Source organism: Homo sapiens, chromosome 3 (genome assembly GCF_000001405.40).
Source record: "Homo sapiens chromosome 3, GRCh38.p14 Primary Assembly".
Taxonomy (NCBI): Eukaryota; Metazoa; Chordata; class Mammalia; order Primates; family Hominidae; genus Homo; species Homo sapiens.
In genome coordinates this window covers 168097293-168119403 of record NC_000003.12, presented here as the reverse complement: position 1 = coordinate 168119403, position 22111 = coordinate 168097293, and the positions used below count along the sequence as shown (strand labels likewise).

General features: G+C 36.2%; 2 annotated features.

Annotated features, from left to right (window-relative positions):
* Positions 1129-1423: a silencer, noted in NCBI's record as "tiled region #6960; K562 Repressive non-DNase unmatched - State 5:Enh". NCBI's record gives its function as "represses a minimal TATA promoter and a strong SV40 promoter by Sharpr-MPRA in K562 cells {active_cell/tissue: K562}" and the evidence as "EXISTENCE:reporter gene assay evidence [ECO:0000049][PMID:27701403]".
* Positions 2675-3175: a transcriptional cis regulatory region, noted in NCBI's record as "candidate enhancer chr3.4789 targeted for multiplex CRISPR interference". NCBI's record gives its function as "positively regulates GOLIM4 gene expression with high confidence in K562 cells {active_cell/tissue: K562}" and the evidence as "EXISTENCE:mutant phenotype evidence [ECO:0000015][PMID:30612741]".

The window sequence follows — 22111 nt, the reverse complement described above, 5'->3', positions numbered from 1 at the left end:
TTAACTCTATCTATTCTGAACCATCTCACAATTGTATTCATAAGTTGTCCTAAAACCATCCATAGCTGTGAAGCTTTTCTGCTATCATATCCCAAACACCAGACCCTTCTCTTTAACACCTCCATGATAGTCCTTACAGGGTTGACTGGTTGAGCTAAAACTGAAGTGGGTTAATATGGTTTGACGGTGGGAAAGATATTATAGAACTGAGCAGTAAGAGACAATTTAAGAGCTAGTATGTTCTACTTAGAGATGACAAAGGTACATAAGGGAATATGATCAATTGGAGAAAACATGAGAATGCCGGGCACAGTGGCTCAATCAAGCCTGTAATCCCAGAACTTTGGGAGGATGAGGCAAGTGGATCCCTTGAGCTCAGGAGTTTGAAACCAGCCTGGGCAATATGGTAAAACTTTGTCTTTGCAAAAAAGTATAAAAATTAGCCAGGCGTGGGGGTGCGCACCTATAGCCCCAGCTACTTAGTGGCTAAGGCATGAGGATTGCTTGTACACAGGAGGTGGAGGACACAGTGAGCTGAGATCATGCCACTGCACTCCAGCCTGGGTGATCAAGTGAGATCCTATCACAAAAACAAAAACAAACACATGAGGAATTATTAGATCTAGAAGGATCTAGAAGATTTTGTGTGTTCACATGCACACATAGATATTCAGCTAAAAAGAGATACATAAAAAATAATAAGATCATGTCTTTTGCAGGAACATGGATGGAGCTGGAGGCTATTATCCTTAGCAAGCTAATGCAGGAACAGAAAACCAAATACCGCGTGTTCTCACTTATAAGTGGGAGTTAAATGATAAGGACCTATCAACACAAACAAGGAAATAACAGACACTGGGGTCTACTTAAGGGGGAGGGTGGGAGGAGGGAGAGAAGCAGAAAAGATAACTATTGGGTACTGGGCTTAATACCTGGGTGATGAAATAACGTGTACAACAAACCCCCATGAAACATGTTTACCTATGTAACAAACCTTCACAGGTACGCCAAAACCTAAAATAAAAGTTAAAAAATGGTTAAAAGAAAGTTAAAAAAAGTTTAAAAAGTTAAAAAAATCTAAAACATAAAAAAGAGATACAAATATCACAAACTAATTTTTCATTTCAAACCCTTAACTTCAATTATAAAATGTTAGTGTTGAAAAAAACACAAGAGATGATCTAATTCATTTTTCTCATTTCACAAGTGAGTAAACAAGGACAGGAAAGGCGAGATTACTCATTCAAGGCCACCAAGTGTGCAGAGTTGGTTGGACTTAGGCAGGCTAGATCCTGAAGAGTCCATGAATAGGAAGAGAGCCTTGACGTGGGTAAGCTTATGTTTCTGGAGAAAGTCCTTCCCCATTTCCTGTCTTCTTCCTGTAGGCCAGGTACTTGTCAGCTTGTATATCACCAGCCCTTAGGTTCTCTACCCATATGCTCTTAATGACAGTCCAAAGGGTCCACATTTGTTTGTTTACTAGAAAGCAGATGGCCAACTAACAGGAAACCCTAGAAAACCTTTACTTATCTATGTACATCCAACATTTGCAAAGATGTGTTCCCTTTGTTTACAGTATTTGATTGCTTGATGAGAATCCAGAGGTATTTCATTCCCTTTCATTAGTATTTCCTTCTTGTACACTTAAAATTCTGCATTGTCCAAGAAGAAATGTACTTTAAAATGTACATGAAAAGAACTGAGGTTTGTTTAATTTAATGAACGGAGGTTCATTTGATTTAAATGTCACCATTAAGGTGGGTTTGTTTTCTAAGTGTTTCTTTTTTTTCTATCTATTGCTCATAGCTATTTTTTTTTTAAAGTAAAGGATTTTTGAACTCAGCGTCATCAATATGATAAAATAAGGACACCAGCACAGGGCTGGTGTGTTTTGAGGCCCCTGGCTTGAGAGGTGTCTTGTCGTCTTACTTTTTCTCCCGAGGCTTGGGCTTTGAAGAGAACAAAGTAGTTCTGGAGTTTCTCTCCCTTCCCCAGAGTCATTATTATCTGAAGAGCAAAGAAAATAAAGGAGAATGTTGCTTCACCGCAGCACTTCTCAATCTTTCATGCTTGTTTCATCTTGTGGTAGTGGTGGCAACGTTCCAGGCTATGGGGAAAATAGGCTCTTATATGGTGTGCTTAAGCAAAGAGTAATTCATTAATACTAACACAGATGAGTACATAGGAAATAAAAGAAATAAACAAAAGGAAGACGCCCTTTAGGCCTGCTAGCAACAATAAAGCCACTATTTCCTGCAGAACCACTCCTAAGAAACAGCATTCTCTCTCAGGTACCTTGTCCCTAGAATTTCACACCCTCTATTGCTTTTTTTTCCCAGCCTCAGTGTAATCCTAAGTGAACTATAATCTTAAGTCACAACAGAAGATTAGAATAAGATGTATGTAATATATGTTATTTACTGAACTCACATCAGCTATAATTGCTTTATGGAGATTCTCAAATTTGAAACATGTTCAGCTTTTCAGGCTTGCATTACAAATTCAATATAAAAATTCCTATTTGGTGATTTTTATTCAGTCAGTCTTTAAGGAGAGAAGATTAGCAGCAGCTGCTTTTTTTTTCTTTCTCAGATACCTGACGGTTACCCTTTCCACACAAAACTTTTCTTTAATTTTAACATTCTTTAAGTGGAAATCTTTCTAAAGTGCATGTAATAAGTTTCCATGACCCTACCAGTAGGGAAAACAAAATGTAATTTAATTCTTCACTCTTCTCAGGATTATTAAAGCAGGTCCTGGTTCTCCATATGAAGACATTTCTTTGTCACAGAGCAGCATGGCCGTTGATAAGTGAATTGGGGCCAGACAAGCAGTTGCTAGGTAGAAGAGATCTTTCTGAGTCTCTGAGCCACTGGTCATCAAATACTTGGCATCAGGTCAGGACGGACAAGTGGAGCCCTGATATGGCTGTTCTCAGAAGTTCTGGGAAGGAGTCCTATTTAACTCCTCCAGAGCAAAGGCTTGGCGTGTGACCACAGCTACACCCAGAATTACAGATGGGGCTGTCTCATGATTCTGTGGTAAGTTTGCTTCTTTACTTGGCTGCTGCTGCGCAGTATGTCATTTACTACCCACAAGCAGTGAAAGAGGACTTCTCCTGGCTCCTTTTTAAGTGTGTGCATACAATGCAAAACCAAGTCTTCTGAGTGCCAAGTATAACTGGATAAAGGATAATGAATGAAATAAGATAATCTATTTTCTAAAAATACCTGAATAATACAACCCAAAGAATGTGCTCTACTTTCAAGCTTATGGAAATTCCAAGTAAATGTAATAATCCCCACCCTTGAGTTAAATGGGTAAAGTTACAAACATATTTTAAAGTACTAAAAACTGATCCAAACTTAATCAAAGCACTGATTGCTTTATGGTTTGGGGCAAAGGATTAATCTTTGAAGAATACAGATACTATAAATAATTAAAATCTTTACAAGGCAGATACTAATTTAAATTTCTTCATATTTGTGGGTATAGTTCTCTAGAAATATATTTTGTTGACAGACATTGATACTGATACCAATATCAGTAAGAAAATATTTATAAGAAAACATAAACAAAGGAAATTTGTTCATAACATTTACAAATGTTATAATTCACACTATCAAACCTTCCTTTCCCAAGTTCTGGAATTACATACTAGCTCCAATTTTATTTTTTCAATATTATGTGCATTTTACAATTTTTTTTTTTACCATTTTCCTATCTTGGCTCCTTTTTTCCTAATGAATGAAGCTCATATGCCTTATCTTAGTGTTGTTAACCTTATCCATTCTTTGGCCCTAACTTATGTTTCTAACTTAATTTCTAATCCTCATTTTACAAAACCAAAATTCTTGTATTATTAGACCTTTCATCATTTGTTGAGGAAGCTTTGCACTGTCCTTGCACCATTTCTAATGTCACCTTCTATATGGAGCCTCTGTGACCCCTCCAGGCAAAAGGGATTGGTCCTTTATCCAAATTTCCATAGCCCTTTGTACTTCCCATGTGGCATCCATCATGTATTGTGCTATGTTATTATCTGCACACATCCTATCTCATTAGATTGTAGCAGAATATGGGCCATTTGCCCACATGGATGAGTATCATTCATGTTACCTAGCATAGTGCCTTCTATATACAAAATGCAAGATAATAGGATGATATTATATATGTATTGAGTCAGATCCCTTTCAGTTGCAAAATAACAGAAATGCAGTCCAAGACGGCTTAGTCTCTAAAAAGGGAATTTACTGGATCATATAAATGCATAGTTTAGGGATGCAGTTGATCTCAAGTATAAAAAGATTGAGGAGCTCAAAGAATGTCCTTATAGTTCCCTCTCTCTTCATGTCTCTACTCTTTCTATACCCATTTCACTTCATTGTTCAAGGAGGTATTTTTCACATGGTGGTCAAGAAAGGCAAAAGCAGCCTCGTCTCTCATATTCCAAGAAAGACAGTCATTGGCTTTGCTTGGCTTTCATGTAGTCACACCAGATAAAGAATGAGAGCCTAATTTCTCATGAAATACAAATACAAATGATAATAGTTTATAGTTTATAGTTTTTGTAGTAAAAAACTATAAAATTACACTATAAATTACAGATTAAATTAACTTTTTAAGGACCTTCACAGATTAACGTAAGAGTTACCTTTACAATTTTTTAAATCTCAGTGAAAATATCAAATCAACGAACATGTATTGTATGGCTTTGTATTATGTTCAAGGGGTACAACCGATAGAAAAGCTGACATTTCAACCACTGAGGAATCACGGTCTAGTTGGTGGCTGACAAAATGTAAGGCATAACAAATGAATGAATATAAGAAATGATATTGTCCAAGTGTTAAATATTTCAGCACAGATTATAACCTTAATAGTAACTCAAGAAAGAAAGAATGATTGTGGAATAGAATAATCGTTGAAGATTTTGTGGAGACAGCGAAAGCTGTTTTGATTAAAGAAGGATGAATTGTTTTTGAATTGTTGGAAAAGGGTGGGAAGAAAATATGATTGAAGGAAGGAAAGAGAATGAAATCGTTTAGAGGTAAGCATTCTATCTGCAGAGACTTAATTGTAGACTCACTTATAACGGATAATTTAAGTTGAGAGTAAGATTAGATGGTGGAAGTAGGTTAGCTTAAAGAAGGCTTTGAATCCTGGGTTCATGAGTTTAAATTTGATCTCGTTATTACAACTTTATTGTATGCAGGTTTTAAAAAAATGGAAATGGCAATTCAGCTGCAGGTGATGATGTGAAAGGAGGACAGAAGCTATAATATTTCTGCTGTGAAATAGGGGCCACTACTTACATTTATACAGGTTGTGCAGTGCACAACCCTACTGGGCACCAATCACATTGCAGTTGAATGGTGTCTCCTAATATTGTGCAGTGCCTGAATTTTTAAACAATATATGGCCCATCCATATGACTTTCAAGAAAAAAAGAACACACCAATTTGACCAATGTGGAAGATAAGCAGATGCTATGTAGAAGTTGGAGAGAAGGTTGAAGAGGAAAGTGAAGACTAGATTATAGAATACCTTGAATGTTAGGCTAAGAAATATGAACTTTATCTTGTGTTTAATGCAGGGCAGAGTTTGGGAAAGCCACTGGGAAATTGTGAATAGAATAGCAAAGTTACAATTAGTGTTTCAAGAAAATTAAATTTGGCTACAGTATTCAGGATAGATTCTAGGGACAGAAATTGGCAAAGTAGAGAACTGTTAGAAGATTGTTAGAGTAGTGCAGAAAAAAGTGGGCCATAGGCACAAGAGTGATTTGAAGGGTATTTTGAAGAAATAGAAGGAGAAAGAAAGGCAAAAAGGGTGAATGTCTTACAAAAGAAACACATAACCTGGGACTTATTATCATTATTGAGGTAGAGAGTAAAGGACAAAATTATATATTTTTTCAAATCATTCTCAGTGACTATGCTGCTGGAAGTTATATAACTCTTTACATTTTGCAGCGTTTTCAAATATATTATCCATTTGGATATAGATAATTTTTGAAATCATGAAGTAAAGCAATTTCCTAAGCTTATACAAAAGGTTCACATATCTAAAAAATAGAAATTGTTATCACGTACAATAGAATATTGTAACGACAGACTTACCTATGTTTATCTAGATGAGAAAAAAAATGAATGGGCAGTGATCCCAGCGTGTCTAAAACCCACCTTTTTATAAGCCCTGGATTTTATGCCTTGTAACACTCCAGGGAGCTGTTCCTTGTCATTCCTTTTCCCATCACTAATCTTCACCTCAGCACTTTCTAAAAGCTTTCTTTGACTCTATTTCCATCCTATGTCATCTCTTCACTTCCCATCAATCTAAGCTGCTGACAGAGTAGTGTATGTTTCATGTCTCTATCTCCTCTCCACTAAGTCACTTCTCAACCCTTTCCATCTCTGCAATTGCTCTTCCTGAATATAACATGAATCTTCTGTTTGCTATGTCTGTTGAACACTTTTCAATATTTACCACGTATAACCTCTCTGCAGTGAATGATACAATTTTCCTTTGTCTCATTTTTAAAACTCCTACCTTGACTTCCTGGTCTCATTCTGCCTTATTTTGCCTCTGTGCCATTAACTTTCTTGTCTTTTCACGTTAACAATTTTCCAGAGCTCCATTCTTCACCATCTACTCTTCTTATTATGCATACTTTTTCTGAGAAATTTTATCCACTCTCTCTAAAGCTTATATACTACTAGCTCTCAATTCTATATCTTTAATCCAGATCAAAAGCCATGATGTATAATTGGATACCCTGTACCTGCTTCATAAAACATGCCTAGCACCTAACTTCTTAGATGTGCCTCAAATCTGTTCTTCCTTCCATACTCTCTCTAGAAAGTATGGAGCCACCATTCATGCAAGGATCTAAAGTAGAAAACAGAAAGCTGTCTTTGATCCTTTCTTTCATTTTTATCCTCCACATGATGGTCAATTTTATGTGTCAATTTGACTGAGTCACAGGTCAGTCAGATATTTGATTAAACATTTCTCTGGGTGTGTTTCTGCCTGACTCTCTTCAAACTGGAATATCAGTGTTCACACAAGACATCACTCTTCTGCCTTCACACTTAGACTCGGACAGGAACTTGTATTATCAGCCCTCCTGATTCTCAAGCCTTTGAGCTCAGACTGGAACTATACCATCCGCTCTCTTGGGTATCCGGCTTGCAGACTGCAGATCTTGGGCATTTCTGCCTCCATAGTCCCATGAGCCAATTCCTTCTAGTAAATGTATTTCAATAAGGAAAAATATATATCCTATTTCTTCTATTTCTTTGGAAAACCCAGACTAACACAGATTTTGGTATCAAGAGTGATTGTAGAGGCATTGAATTTTAAGAATGAGTTTTCTGAATTGGCTCTGGGTTTTCTGGAGTTGGCTCTTGCTATGACCTGAATGTATCACCCCAAAATATTGAAACTTAATCCTCAGTGTAATAGTATCAAGAGATAGGGACTTGAAAAAAGTGATTAAGTCATGAGGGCTCCACCCCCATCAATAGGATTAGTGCCCTCATGATAAGAACTGAAAGGCACGTTTTCTCCTATGTTATGTTAAGATGCAGCAAGAAGATGCCATCTTTAAAGTAGAGAGAAAGCTGTCACAAGAAACTGAATCTGTTGGTGCCTTGGTTTTGGACTTCCCAGACTACAGAACTGTGAGCAATAAATTTCTGTTGTTTATGAATTACCCATTCTAAGGTATTTTGTTGTAGCAGCCTGAATGAACTAAAACAGCTCTCTAATATTGTTAGATTTAAATATTTTAATGACCATGTCCAGTAGTAAAGTAATCGATGATCGTTCACATGATCTCGCAACAGAGATACGCAACATACCTCCATTGGATACTCATAGTCAACTACTCATAAGAAGCAAGGAGCTAGGTGACTGTGTATATGATGCTTACAAACATTTTGGAAATCTAACAGATATAATAAGGCTAACTGATTGTTCCTAATGCAGCTGGACAAAGTGGTGAAAGAAAATGATGAGCTCAGGGATTCCAATTCTCAACTCAGGTGCATTTATATGATCTGAAAAGCATCTATGTGTGCCCAAAGGAGACTCTTATCTCACAGTTCCAGGGCTCAGATTACTGAAAATCAAATGCAGAATTTCATCCTGTGATTGGCTAAATTACAACACAAGTTGAACTCCCAGTCTTGAATGGTGTCAACTCTTAAAGTGAGGGCATTGATTAGGAAAAACAGGGGTTCTATCAGTTGGAATATGCATATGTGGAAAGAAGAGCCTAATGAAGCTGGGGACATTGAGTCCCTAAATTCTGATGAATCTTCTCTTCAGAAGACTGTAAAAACAGCTTCTCTAGTAGAAGTAGCTTCCCTACCCTCAGGGGTTAGTGACTCCCACCCCTCGTATTTTTGGCCTTTCCACCTGAATCTGAGGGGATCAATCCTGCATTGCCTAAGGAAACTGAGGTGGCCTCCGCTGCAACAGCTACCATGAAAGATAATACTGACTCTCCTCAGGACCCCACCAACACCCCACTTTGCTTCTAGACTAGACTCAAGTCCTAGTAAGTCCCTAATAGAAAAATATAAGCTGTATCTCATGAGGAAGTATGCTACATTCCAAAAGAACTATTTTATATTTACACAACAAAAATCTGGGGAACATGTGTAGAATGAATATTGAGGAAGTGGGATAATGATAATAGAAACATAAAGTTGGATCAGTATGAACTTATTTTGGTCTCACTAAGCAGAGATTCTCCATTTAATATTGCAGCTCATGGAGTGAGGAAAGGCTCTACCACCAGTGTGTCCGGTTGGTTGTCTAAAACATGGACCAAAATGGGACCCATCATGAGTGAAATAGAAATGCCAGACCTGCCTTAGTTTAATGTATTAGAAGGAATTCAAATGCTTAGGGAGATTGAAATGGTAGAGTGAATTTGTCATTTAATACCTACTCACCCACTTGGAAGGGTCCAGAAGACAAAACTTTCACCACTACTCTGAGAAATAATTTCATAAAAGGAGCCCTGACATCCTGAAAGAGCTCTGTAATCATTCTTCTCTGTAGGCTGAACACTATAGTGGGGACTGTGGTCACTAAATTGAAAAATATAAATGCAACAGGAATAATTGAATCCCAGGGTGGCAGGGGCAAAGTGACAGCACTCAACCACAAAAGGCAAAGTGGATATGGTTACTGTAATGAACAGCAGAGTCAAAGCAGCAATCAGAATAGTCTGACTCGCACAGAATGTGACATTGGATAGTTAATCATGATGTTCCTAAAAATAAAATAGGAAACATACGAAATTATTGTTTGATCTGTATAAGCCAAAAAGTTTTAGGTCAGGTGGACAAGAATCTACCTGACTAATAAAAGGAAAACTGCCAAAAATTTATACTGTTAATCTTTCTCCCAGCCTTCCCCAAAGGGATCTATAGTCTTTTATTAGGGTAACTATTCACTGAGGAGAAGGAAATAATCAGACCTTTGGGGACTACTGGACAGTGGCTCTGAACTGACAATAATTGTAGAAGACTCAAACATCACTGTGGTCCACCAGTCACATTAGAGGCCAATAGATGTCAGGTAATCAATAAACTTTGGCTCAGGTTCATCTGAGTCTTCTCCTCTGTCAACTGATCATAGGGAACTCTCTAGGATGCCACAGATATAGAGTAGGAGAGAGAAGGTAATGTGTCAGTTTGATTACATTGGCCTGCTTTCATTATGGAATGGGCAGCATTTTGTTCTTAGTGGAATAAAAACTTATTCTGGGTATAATTTTTTTCTTGCTTGCATGCAATGCTTCTGCTAAAACAGCAATTCATGAACTTAAAGAATGCCTTGCCCATCATAATGATCTTCCACACAGCGTTTCTTATAATCAAGAAACTCAGTTCACAGGAAATGAAGTGTGGCAATGACCCATGTTCATGAAATTTACTGGTCTTATCATGTTTCCCACCATTCTGAAGCAGTTTGTTTGACAGAACAGTGGAATGGCCTTTTGAAGAATCAGTAATAGTAATAGTTAGGTGGCAGTAACTTGCAGGGATGCAGCAAGATTTTCCAAAACGTTGTATATAATCTGAATCAGCTTCTCCCATAGCCAGGATTCCAAAGTCTGGGAATCAAGTGGTGGAAAGGAAGTGGCACCACTCGCCATTATCACTATTGGACTATTGGCAAAATGTTTGCTTCCTGTTCCCACCCTTATGCTCTGCTGGCCTAAAGGTCTTGGTTCCAAAGGGAGAAAATTTTCCACGAGGAAACAAAGTAATGATTCCATTGAACTGGAAGTTAGGACTGCTCTCTGGCCAGTTTAAACTCCTTATGCATCTGAACCAACAGTATAAGAAGGGAGTTTTTAGGCTGGCTGGGGTGATTGATCTTAACTACCAAGGGGAATTAGAATACTTCACAATGGAGGTAAAAGTAAGAGAATGTCTGGAATATTGGAGATCCCTTGGGGCGTCTCTTAGAATTACTATGACTTGTGATTTAGGTTAATGGAAAACTACAATAACCCAGTCCAGGCAAGACTTCTAATGAATCAGACCTTTCAGAAATGAAGGTTTGGGCCACTCTACCAGGTAAAGGACCATGATCAGCCTTGACGTTTGCTGAAAGCAAATAAAAAATACAGAATTGATAATGGAAGTAGTCATAAAAACAAGCAATGACCACATGACCAGTTACAGACATGAGGACTGAAATTGTCCTTATGAGTGTTTCTACTTCTTTTGTTATGAATATGTTTGTGTGTATGAATATGCATGTATACATAAACATGGACATATATACACACACATACATATATACTAAACATCTTTATTTTCTTCTGTCTCTTATTCCTTTATCATGTAACATAAGTTGAATTGACTTTATGTCATAGTATTTAAGTATTTTTGATACATTAATATAAGTATACATTATATTAATGTATTTAAGTTATGCAATACCAGGAGAAAAATAAACATCACTCAAGGACTTTACCTCCTCTTCTGGGGAAGAGGTTAGCACGCTTTTGGTTGTACACATGATAGTTGTATCATGTAAATTGAATTATAACCTTGTTATTATCTATATTTGGAGATTAACTATGTTTAAGGAGATCCCTATGGGTGCCATATTGACAACGAGTGAACTTGTGATGATTTATTTTATGTGTCAACTTGGCTAGGCCACAGGCTTCCCAGATATTTGGTTAAACATGTTTCTAGGTGTGTCAGTTTCTGGATGAGATTAACATTAGAATTGGCAAACTGGTAAACATTAGAATTGGCAAAAGCAGACTGCCCTCCCCAGTGTTTGTGGGGCTCATCCAAGTTGTACAAGAACTGAATAGGATTGAAGACCCAGTGAGAAATTCTTTCTCACTGCCTGACTTCTTCAAACAGACATCAATCTTCAGACAGATATTGGTCTTCTCTAGCATTTGGACTTGGACTCAGACTGGATCTTACACCATCATCTCTCCTAGTTTTCAGTCCTGTAGGTTTGAACTGGAAGTAAAATATCATCTCTACTGTGTCTCCGACCTTCCAAGTGCAGATCTTGGATTTCTCATCTTCCATAATTGCATGAGCCAATTCCTTAGATTGTTTCTGTTTCTCTGGAAAACACCGACTAATACATTCCATACAACGAATCATCAATTCAATTCTACCTGGAGTTTTTCTCTCACATTTCATCTCAATTCTCACTGCCACCATCCTTATTAGTCATTTACAGTATAAGTTTAATGACGTTCTAATACCCCTCTCTCTCTCTCTGGTTTTGCCACTCTCAGATCTGGTGTTCACACTACTCTCAAGGGAAAGATTCTAAATTAAAGACATTATGTCCCTCCCTGTTTAATATTCATCAATAACTTCCCAATGCTTTAAAGAAAAAATATATACTTATTAGGATGACTTCCATAAACTATATGTTCTTTATTATCTGGCCTTCTTTACTTGCCATAATTGTTTTGAGATACATTCATGTTATTTTGTGTATGAATATGTTCATCCTTTTTTATTGCTAAGTAATATTCCATTGTGTAGCTATACCAAACTTTGTTTATTGATTCACCTGATGAAGGACTTTTGGGTTATTTTAAGTTTTTGGCTATTACAAACAAAGTTGCTATAAATATTTGCATACAGTCTTTTCACGGGCATAAATCTTTGTTTTTTGTGTAAATACCTAGAAGAGAAATGGCTAGGGCACATGGTAGGTATACTTCTTAAGAAACTTGGCTGAGTGCAGTGGCTTATGCCTGTAATCCTAGCACTTTGGGAGGCCGAGGCGGGTGGATCATTTGAGGATGGGAGCTCAAGACCAGCCTGGCCAACATGGCAAAACCCCGTCTCTACTAAAAATACAAAAAGTAGTTGGGCATGGTGGCACACGCCTGGAATCCCAGCTACTTGGGAGGCCGAGGCAGGAGAATTGCTTGAGACTGAAAGACAGAAGTTGCAGTGAGCCAAGATTGTGTCACTGCACTCTAGCCTGGGTGACAGAGCGAGACTGTCTCAAACAAAAGAAAGAAAAGAAACTGCTATTTTCCAAATTTGTTGCCATCATGTTACATAACCACCAACAGTGTATGAGAGTTCCAGTTGCTCCACATCTTCACTAGCACTTGGTATGGTTTGAATATATTGGGACTCATTTAATGGCCAATAATGTGGTCCATCTTGGTAAAGGATCCATGTGCATTTTAAAAGAATGTGCATTCTGCTGTTGAGAAGAATGTTCTACAAATCTGAATTAGGTCATGTTAAGTGATAGTGTTGTCCAGGTCTTTTATATCCTTACAGATTTTCTGGCTGTGTGTTTTACTAGGTAGAGAGAAGAATGTTATAAGCTTCAACTGTAACTGTGGATTCAACTATAAGCTTCAACTCTTAGTTCTATTGGTTTTTCCATCATTTATTCAGGAGTCCTGCTATTAGATGTATACACTTCTAGTATTATTATGTTCTTTTGATAAATTGACCCCTTTACTGTTAGGAAATGACCTTCTTTATTCCTGATAATATTATTTTCTCTGCAATCTACCTTGATATTAATATAGCCACTCCATGTTTCTTTGAATTTGTGTTATCATGTGCCATTTTTTCCTTTTCTTTTGGAAACATTTAAAAACTTAAAAATTTTTAAAGTAATGTTAGACTTCCAGAAAAATTGCAGAAATAGTACAGTTTCTGTACACCCTTCCTCCAGCTTCCCCTAATGCAAAATGCCTCTTTGTTCTCCCAGGTTGTGTCCTCTATTAGAGAGATTGCCATGCTCCACCTGGATTCCCCCATCTAAATGCTGCATCCTCCTCTCCAGGAAATAGGTAGAAAACAAACATAAGCCTTGCTGCTTTTGTTTCCTGTCTCTTTAGGATTACTTTTGCTTTTTGTCTAATGTTTGAAATCATTGTTTCATATGTTTGGTACAGTTTTTTAGTTGTTCCAGGCTGTGGTGTAAATCTGGTCTCCCTATACAGTATTTTGAACCTACTTTTATCTCAGCATTCAACATATTATTGAGTATTCATTGAAAGCATTGGTTTAGTGGATAATGTAAGCACTACATGCATATTCACTTGAACACCTTTACCATTTTCCTGCACACAGGCTTTCAGTATGCTTTCATTCTCAACAGCCAGTAACAGGCTTTTTTTGGGGGACTACCCTCAGTCTGCTTGTACATAAATGGTAGGGAAGTTTCTGGGAATTTACTCCCCTTGCCCTATCCCTTAATCAATGACTTCATGGAACAAGAATATAAATACTGCAGCTTCCTTGCTCCCAATGGAACCAACTCTGAGGTATGATCTATACTTTCTCTACAGCTCTTCTGAGAGATTGAGCAAAAGTTACTTTCTAAGGGATTTTGCTTGTTTGCCATCCCTCCCACTACCTTACTGTTTTTTCAAATATGAATTCCTCTTAATAATCCTTTTTCACATTAACCCTTTCTTTCGGGTCCATTTCTGAGGATCCCACACTAGCATAACCAGTTGAAATTGCCGGTTAATATTCTACTCTTTATACCATAACTTAACTATTCTTCAACAGTTCAACCTTTAGGTTGTTTGTATTTATTTTTCCTACAATAGCTAGATTTGTAATGATAATCTTTGCATGAAAAATGTTTCTCTGGGATCCAGATTACTTTCTATGGATAGATTTCTAGAAGGGAAATTACTAAATAAGAGCCTGAATGAATATTTTATGGTCTTGATCATATTGCCAATTTGCTTTCCAGAAAATGTGTATCAATTTATAGTTCTCTTTGCAGCATATCTTTTAAAATTTTTTACCATATTGAATTAATTTTAATATGAACTTTTTTAAAACTTTGCTAATTTTATTAATGATAAAAGATTATTAGTAGTGTTTCCATTTCTTTAATTGCTAATGAGATTGAAAACTTTCTTACAAAGTTTTCAGTTGTTTCTACTCTATGAATTATCTGTTTATGAACTTTGTAATTCTTTAATTATCTTAGTGTTTTCAACAATGTACAGTTATTTAATTGAAAGTTGTAATTTATGCAATCTATTTAATCTGTATAAATATTTCCCTATGCGTTTGCTTTTAAATTTTTTAGTATTGTTTGAAATTCAACAGTTTAATTTTCAAGTAGTCCAATCTGTTTGCTTTCCCTTGCCATTTTTTCTAATGCTTCTCTACTTAGAAAGTTGTACTACATTTTAAATCAGATAAATGTTATCCTATATTTTCCTCTAGATTTTTTTCTTCTTATCTCTCTTTCTAACATTTATCTTATGAATTCCTCTGCTTTTTATTTTGACATATGGCAGGGGTGAAAAATAGATTCCATCTTGTGTGCCAAGTTGATTCATTTACTCAGTAAAAATTTATTCAGTGTTTACTATGTACCAGGCACAGTGCTAGACATGATTAGTAAAAGAAAATGTTGAGATGTCTATTTTTTAAAGTGTTTTAAAGAGATTTTTTAGATGTTGTTTGTGAAGCTTTTTAAATTTCTCAAACAAAAAGAAATACAAATACAACACATCATGCTAGTCACATCTGAGATCAACTAGAAAGCACACTTAGTTGATGGAAGAGAAAGAGGATGGGAGAAATGTGTGCAATGGCAGTTCCAGTGCTGGGGATCTTGTCCTCCTTTGATATGGTGTGATATCAACTCACTCCTCTTAGAAAACAGATCTTATGATCACAGATATGCTCAACAATGTTAAAGACTGCGAATGAGTAGAAAGCATCATTATCCTGAAGAGAATAAATTGATTATCATGGGTTACTAAAAAATACTCACCTTTTTTCCCTCTCTTCATCTAATTACCTAAAAGTAGTAAGATATAATAAAAGTTTTTCTATAAATATTTTAACATTCTTGTGATTATATTGTTTATACCACTTTACATTCTAAATCCATTTAACATTATGAAATATTTGCATATGTCATAAACTACTTAGTAAGCATCACATCTAACAATTAACATAAAAAGAATTTTAATGGACCAATTACTCTTTTCAAAGAAGAAATAGTTTCTCTTCTTAAATATTATGCATAGGTATTGTCTTGCAGATTCTCTATTGGGGATATTATTATAAACTCATGCCCATTTTTTGAGTGTACCCATTTAATCAAAGTAAATTAATACAAGCACACAAGACCTTAGGCCCTCAAACAAATTTCTTGTTCAGTTATCTAGGCAATCTTTTCAAATTCCTTCTTTTTAGTAACTCTTCAGATCATTTGTTCAATAATTTATTGAGCCTTTAATATGGAAAATGAACTACTGTGTGATAGGATATTGCCATAAGAAATAATGGTCCATACATTCTAATGACTGAGGCAGACCCTTCTTTGCTTCTTAGAATCTATTCTTAAATGTAACTCTTCACATCTTCAACCTATCTCTCTCCACTGGTTCCTTTCCAAACACTGTTAAGTATATGCTATCCAAACAAGCCAAAAACCAAAAATCAAATGAAGCCAAGACTCAAAACCAAAAAGCAAACTTTATTTTAACCTGGTTTCTTCTATTGAAGCTACACCCAATTTAATCTCCCTTCTCAGCCAAACATATTAACACCAAAGTTCACCCTTACCACACCTCTTTTCATATTTACTTTTACCCATTTATCTGCCATACTCTTGCAATTTTCTACCTCATCCCTACTCTGTTAACTCTATGGCCTGTTTGGCTTTATTTTACTTGCCCTCTCAGTAGTCCTATCAGTAACACTCCCCTCTCTTGAAGAACTCTCTTCTGGATTCCTTTGGTTTCCTGGTCACTTTTCTCACATAATTTTTCTCGACCAACAATTCCTCCTGTTACCTTACTAGTCATTTGAATGTATAGTAGAAGCAATTAATGTTACTTACGCAACTCACTCGATTAGAGGAGGCTCTCCTCTTCTCTGCAAATCAGATCAACAGAAGCCTCCCTGTCCTTCCCCTCCACACTTCAGGGCTGAAGACTGGCACATAAGCTAATCTCGAGTAGGTATGTACATGTCAATTGAGCTGTGTGCTTAGCAGAGACAAGTGGTTTATTCTAAGACTGTTTATGCAATTCTTGCTGTTTTCATTATGTAATTTAACCAAATATTATGCAAACTAAGAAATATGAGGCTAAAAAAGAGTTATTTCTATGAAAATTAAGGTGAATGCTTTGGAAAAGCTCCATGATGGCTGATAGCTTAAAGAAAAATTGCAGTCAAATTAGGTGAGCACCAAGACCAAGAAAAAAAAAATCCTTTACATTTAGATGTATTTTACATTGACATTACCTTACCATCCACCACTCAATGAAGCTGAAACTGGAAACTGTGAATGGTGTTCTATGGCTAAAAGACAAACCTAAGCCCTAACCAACAACAGGTCCACCCGTAAAGCAGAGGCCTTGGGTCCCACATTAAAAGAGAATTCAGTGAAAGTACAGTGATATGTTTCTTATTTTATTCTTTATTATTTTTATTCTTATTTATTTATTTTGAGACAGGGTCTCGCTCTGTCACCCAGGCTGAAGAGCAGTGGCACCATCAGGGCTCACTGCAGCCTGGACCTCCCTGGTTCAAGTGATCCTCCCGTCTCATTGTTCTGAGTAGCTGGGATTACAGGTGTGAACCACAATGCCTGGCTAATTTTTGTATTTTTTTGTAGATACGGGGTTTTGCAATGTTGCTCAGGCTGGTCTCCAATTCCTGGGCTCAAGCAGTCTGCCCGCTTTGGCCTCCCAAAGTGCTGGGATTACAGGCATGAGCCACTGCGTACGGCCCATTTATATGTTTTAAGGTGTCTTTGCATCACTTTTATAATTTTTGGCTTTAACTGACTTCACTGATTAACCGATCACTTGTCTCAATTACCTCAAGAGGCCACCTTCTCTAGAAATATCTTGATTGCATCCTTAGGCCTATTCTTTTCCTGTTCTGCTCTTTCCCTGAGCAATTAAATTTCCAACCAGAGCTTCAATATAGTCTTTAAACAAATTAATACAAAGTCCGCAAGCTCTTTGAAATGAGGATCCCTCGTTTATTCATCACTGCATCACCCATCTTGCACTCTGTCCTTGCACTGTGCCTTGCACACAGTAACTATTTTTAAAAATGTTGAGATTTAAACTGTATTTAAGAATTAGTTATAAATTACAACCCAAGAATTAGAAGTCAGTCTTGAATGAATGTGTCACAAGAACATTTCTTTGTTTTGCAATCATAATTTACCCCTTCTCAGCAACTAAAGAAGCTCGCTTGACAAGTATAATTGGAAAATTATCATTTTAAATTGGGTAGCTGAAGCTTAATTTTAAAAAGTAAATGGTAGTTTTTCTGAAAAGTATGAAACTTTCTGAAGGTAAGCAAATGGTCCAATCCATTTTAGGTGGACAATGACAAGTACCACTACGGCACTGAGTTTTACGTAAAGTGAGAAGTTTCGCTTCTCAAGTGTTGTGGATTAATTTCTTAGGCAATTTTCTCTGAGCATTGCAGGAGAGCTATGGTTATCCTTTCCATTTTACAGATGAAAGAATTAATGGTCCTAACAGTTACTTACTCTTGACCTTCAAGATCATTTGTAACTTCAATGGAATTTGTGCCTTGATGCTACACATCTTGAGTCATCTTCTAAATTCTTCTAAGGCTCGTTAGAATTGTGCAGGAGAATCAGGGACAAACTAGCAAAAAGTCAAGCCACAGTTGTCACTTATCTACTCTGCAGGCAGTCTAGAATTATGCCATTGGAGTTCAGTCTTTTCATTTAATAGTTTCTCTCAAAATTGTTGGGTAGAAGACTAAGTTAGTAATTCAGTTTTAATATCTTCCTGTTAGTTAACATACCCAGTTTTCTTTCCTCTGATTAAGCAGCTAAAGGAAAGGAAGAGTCATTTTAGATTAGGCTACTTTGTCTTGAAGAAGGCAAGTCCAAGTTTGTGTATATGAGTGGGTGAGGTTGGGAGAGAAAGGCATAGTCATAGTCTAGGATTCTGGAAAACCAAGGGGGATAACTAAAATTTTGGATGCCAGGAGCTGAAGAGTTGAACTAGAGAGCAGAGTGATCCAAGACAAATGTTTCCATTTCACAATTTTAATTTGGGCAGAATTTAATGCTGTGATAACTCAATTCTTCTTATATTTTGTTTGAAAATTTGTTCCACTTTATTTCTAACTAAAATTATTGGTAGTCATTTTGTTCTGACTCAAAATATTCCTGAAAACTATAGTTTAAATAGCATTTATGAAGCAGATTATTATTTCCCTTAGGAATAATTCTAAAATTAAACGTTGAATTTCTGACCCAGAACTTGGCATTGGATACTTTATAAATATGACCAGCCACCCTCATCACAATTAAAAAATTACTATATGTTATAACATATTAAAATTGTAATGCCAATTTTATAAAATGGTCATGAGTAAACTAAGTATAGCTTTCATAAAAATCAATCCAATAAATTATAATATTTTGGGGGAGGGGACATTAAAAAATGTCATGTTTTACTGGCCACTGATCTTTTCTGTGGTATCTCTGCTTATCTAAAGTCTTTGACTATTAAAGGCAGTGAGTTGGTGAGAAGCTGGATGAGCCATTGGAAGATTTAGGAAGTTCACTTCTGAGGCTCACATATGCTCCCTTTCCATTCTTTCTAACTTCCTATGAAATTAAACTGAAAAAAAAATGTGGTAGTTAGCTCATTATATGCTAGCTGTAACAAACATTAAGCAACATATTCATAATGATTTCGTATACTGCCTTAGAATTTGGAAAAGTTTAGGGTTGGCTAGATATCCTGCTTTAGAATGTTGTTAGAGGTTTGAAATGATAGTTCCTCTTCCTTTAGACTAGCTACACATCCTGTGGCAAATAGGGACTTCTAAATCACGTCCATTATTAGTAGTCTGTATTCAAAAGGTATTTATTTATTTTTATTTTATTTTATTTATTTTTTTTTTGAGATGGAGTCTCGCTCTGTTGCCAGGCTGGAGTGCAATGGCGCAATCTCAGCTCACTGCAACCTCCGCCTCCCAGGTTCAAGCGATTCTCCTGCCTCAGCCTCCCGAGCAGCTGGGACTACAGGCACACGCCACCATGCCCAGCTAATTTTTGTATTTTTAGTAGAGACAGGGTTTCACCATGTTGGCCAGGATGGTCTCGATCTCATGACCTCGTGATCCGCCTGCCTCAGCCTCCCAAAGTGCTGGGATTACAGGCGTGAGCCACCGCACCCGGCCTCAGAAGGTATTTCTTAGTGATATTGATGGTAAGGTTTCTCTCATTGAAAAGCATTTTTATAAATAAGAACAAATCATCTACTTTCTCCTCTGCCCTCCTCTTCAGATATAGTTGAAAATTACAAAGGTGGCAACGTAGTGACAGATGTAAACAAGGCATAAAGATACATTGAGTGGGGTTCAGTTACTCAGTTATGCATTCAACCACAGACCTACTTTTTAGTTTGTTAATCTTCTAACAATTACTACTAGGTCATTATCAAAATCCTATGAAAAAGGAGTCTCAAAACATCTTTCACAAAATGTTCAAAAAGACATAATACCTTGAATGCAGCTTTCTTTACCTCTCAAAACAGGTCAGGTAAAAGTGGCAATCAGCAAGGCAAGTGTATTCATTAGGGGACAGCAAACTGATGAAATGGCAAAAAGGTGAAGACATCATAGAGTGAAGATTGTTTTATAGGATAAATAACTTTTGTAATTGTCAGATGAAAAGATTAAAATTAGTTTATTAATACTGAAAAGCTATTTTAAATTTTATTTACTATTCATCACCTTTTCTTAGGTGATGATTTCTCCTACAAATTACAAAATATTGAGTTCCATTTGTAGTAAAGAAATTTAAATAAAAGATTTAGATAATAGAAATTATTTACTCTAGGATCCTAAATATTATTAATTTAAAATCTTACTTTTAGAAATTATACGTCAGCTGTCTCTCTCAACTTTTTATTTTTTCCTTCCCTTATTTTGAAAATGAACAAATTTGATTAAAATGACAAATTCACTTAAGTTAGAGAGAATTAATATTCCCAAATGTTATATTTGCCCTTCTCAAATGTAAGACCTTGAGTATCTTTAAGTTAATTTCTTCCTGCCTCAGAAATAAAATACTAAATCAGTAAAATTCTTCAGGGTTTATAATTTAAAGTTAAATATATTGTTAAATATATGGAATATAGAAATATAATTATATATACTATTTTTAAAATAACAAAGAAGCAAAAATAAAATAGAATGAACAACACACCTTCCAAGACCAGTATAAACAGCTGTTATGTTATAATTGCTACCCAAAGGCAATGTTATGTAAATTCATTTTATAGGCCTTGGATAGCTTCCTCATGTTGGCCGCTCAAAAGCTCTATACTGACATTTTCAGGAAACTAGCAGCATACTTTACCTTGGAAATGTAATATTATAAAAATACCACCATTAGTAATTTTATGTACTTCTACATACCCTTCTTGAATTTGAAATAATGGATAAGTTCAGGTAATAATTTTTGCTGTCTTTCAAATTTTATGACTAAAATATTGAGTTGTGTTTTATGGCCTGCATTTATTATGTTCTGTAGAGTCAGCCAGCAGCTTTAGGCAAAGAATATCTTTGGAGTCTGGAATCAGATGCAAAGGAATCAGAGGTTTAAGATGAATCATACATTCAGGAAACATAAGAATTTTCCAAAGATTCTAAAATACATATTGTACAATATATGAGCAATAATTTTCCAACCCTCTATACAACTTCTTTTTCTTTTGTGGCTAGGATAATTTTCTCTTCAAATATGGGGCAAGATTATTGCCATAAACTTTATTTATTTATATATTTATTTATTTTGAGACAGAGTCTCACCTCTGTCGCCCAGGCTGGAGTGCAGTGGTGTGATCTTGGCTCACTGCAACCTCTACCTACCAGGCTCAAGGGATCCTCCCAACTCAGTTTCCCGAGTAGCTGGGACTATAGGTGCACGCCACCATGCCCAGCTAAATTTTTATATATTTTTTTTTTTGTAGAGGAGGGGTTTTGCTATGTTGCCCAGGCTGGTCTCATACTCCCAAACTTAAGCGATCTGTTCGCATTAACCTCCCAGAAGTGCTGGGATTACAGGAGTGAGCCACCATGCCCAGCCTAAATTTGGATAGTGTTTTTGGAGGAAGAGTTTGTTTAACAAAGTACTCTGACAACAGTAAGGAATGTTTAGTTATGAGGAATTTTAAAGAGATTCCAGTAATTATCCAATGTTAATTTCTGAGAGTCAAACTAAAAAAGAGGAATTTAAAGTGGTAGATTTAATAATAAGGAAGATTATGTAGTATTTACACAACAAAACTCCCAAACTCCTTTAGACTGTTTTCTTTTACAATCAGATTCTCATGTTAATGGAGATATAATTTCTTACTGTAACTTGTTTAATAGAATGAGAACATTGTTTCTATTGAAGAAAAAGACATAGAGCAGGGTTTGGATCTGGATTCTAATCTTGCTGAGTAACTAACTTTATGCAAGACCTAAAAGGTCCTAGAGCTGTCATAGTCACTTTGATAAACTTTGGCTTCTTTACCAACATGAAAGTCTAACACCCTGGCTGTGATCAGTGAGAC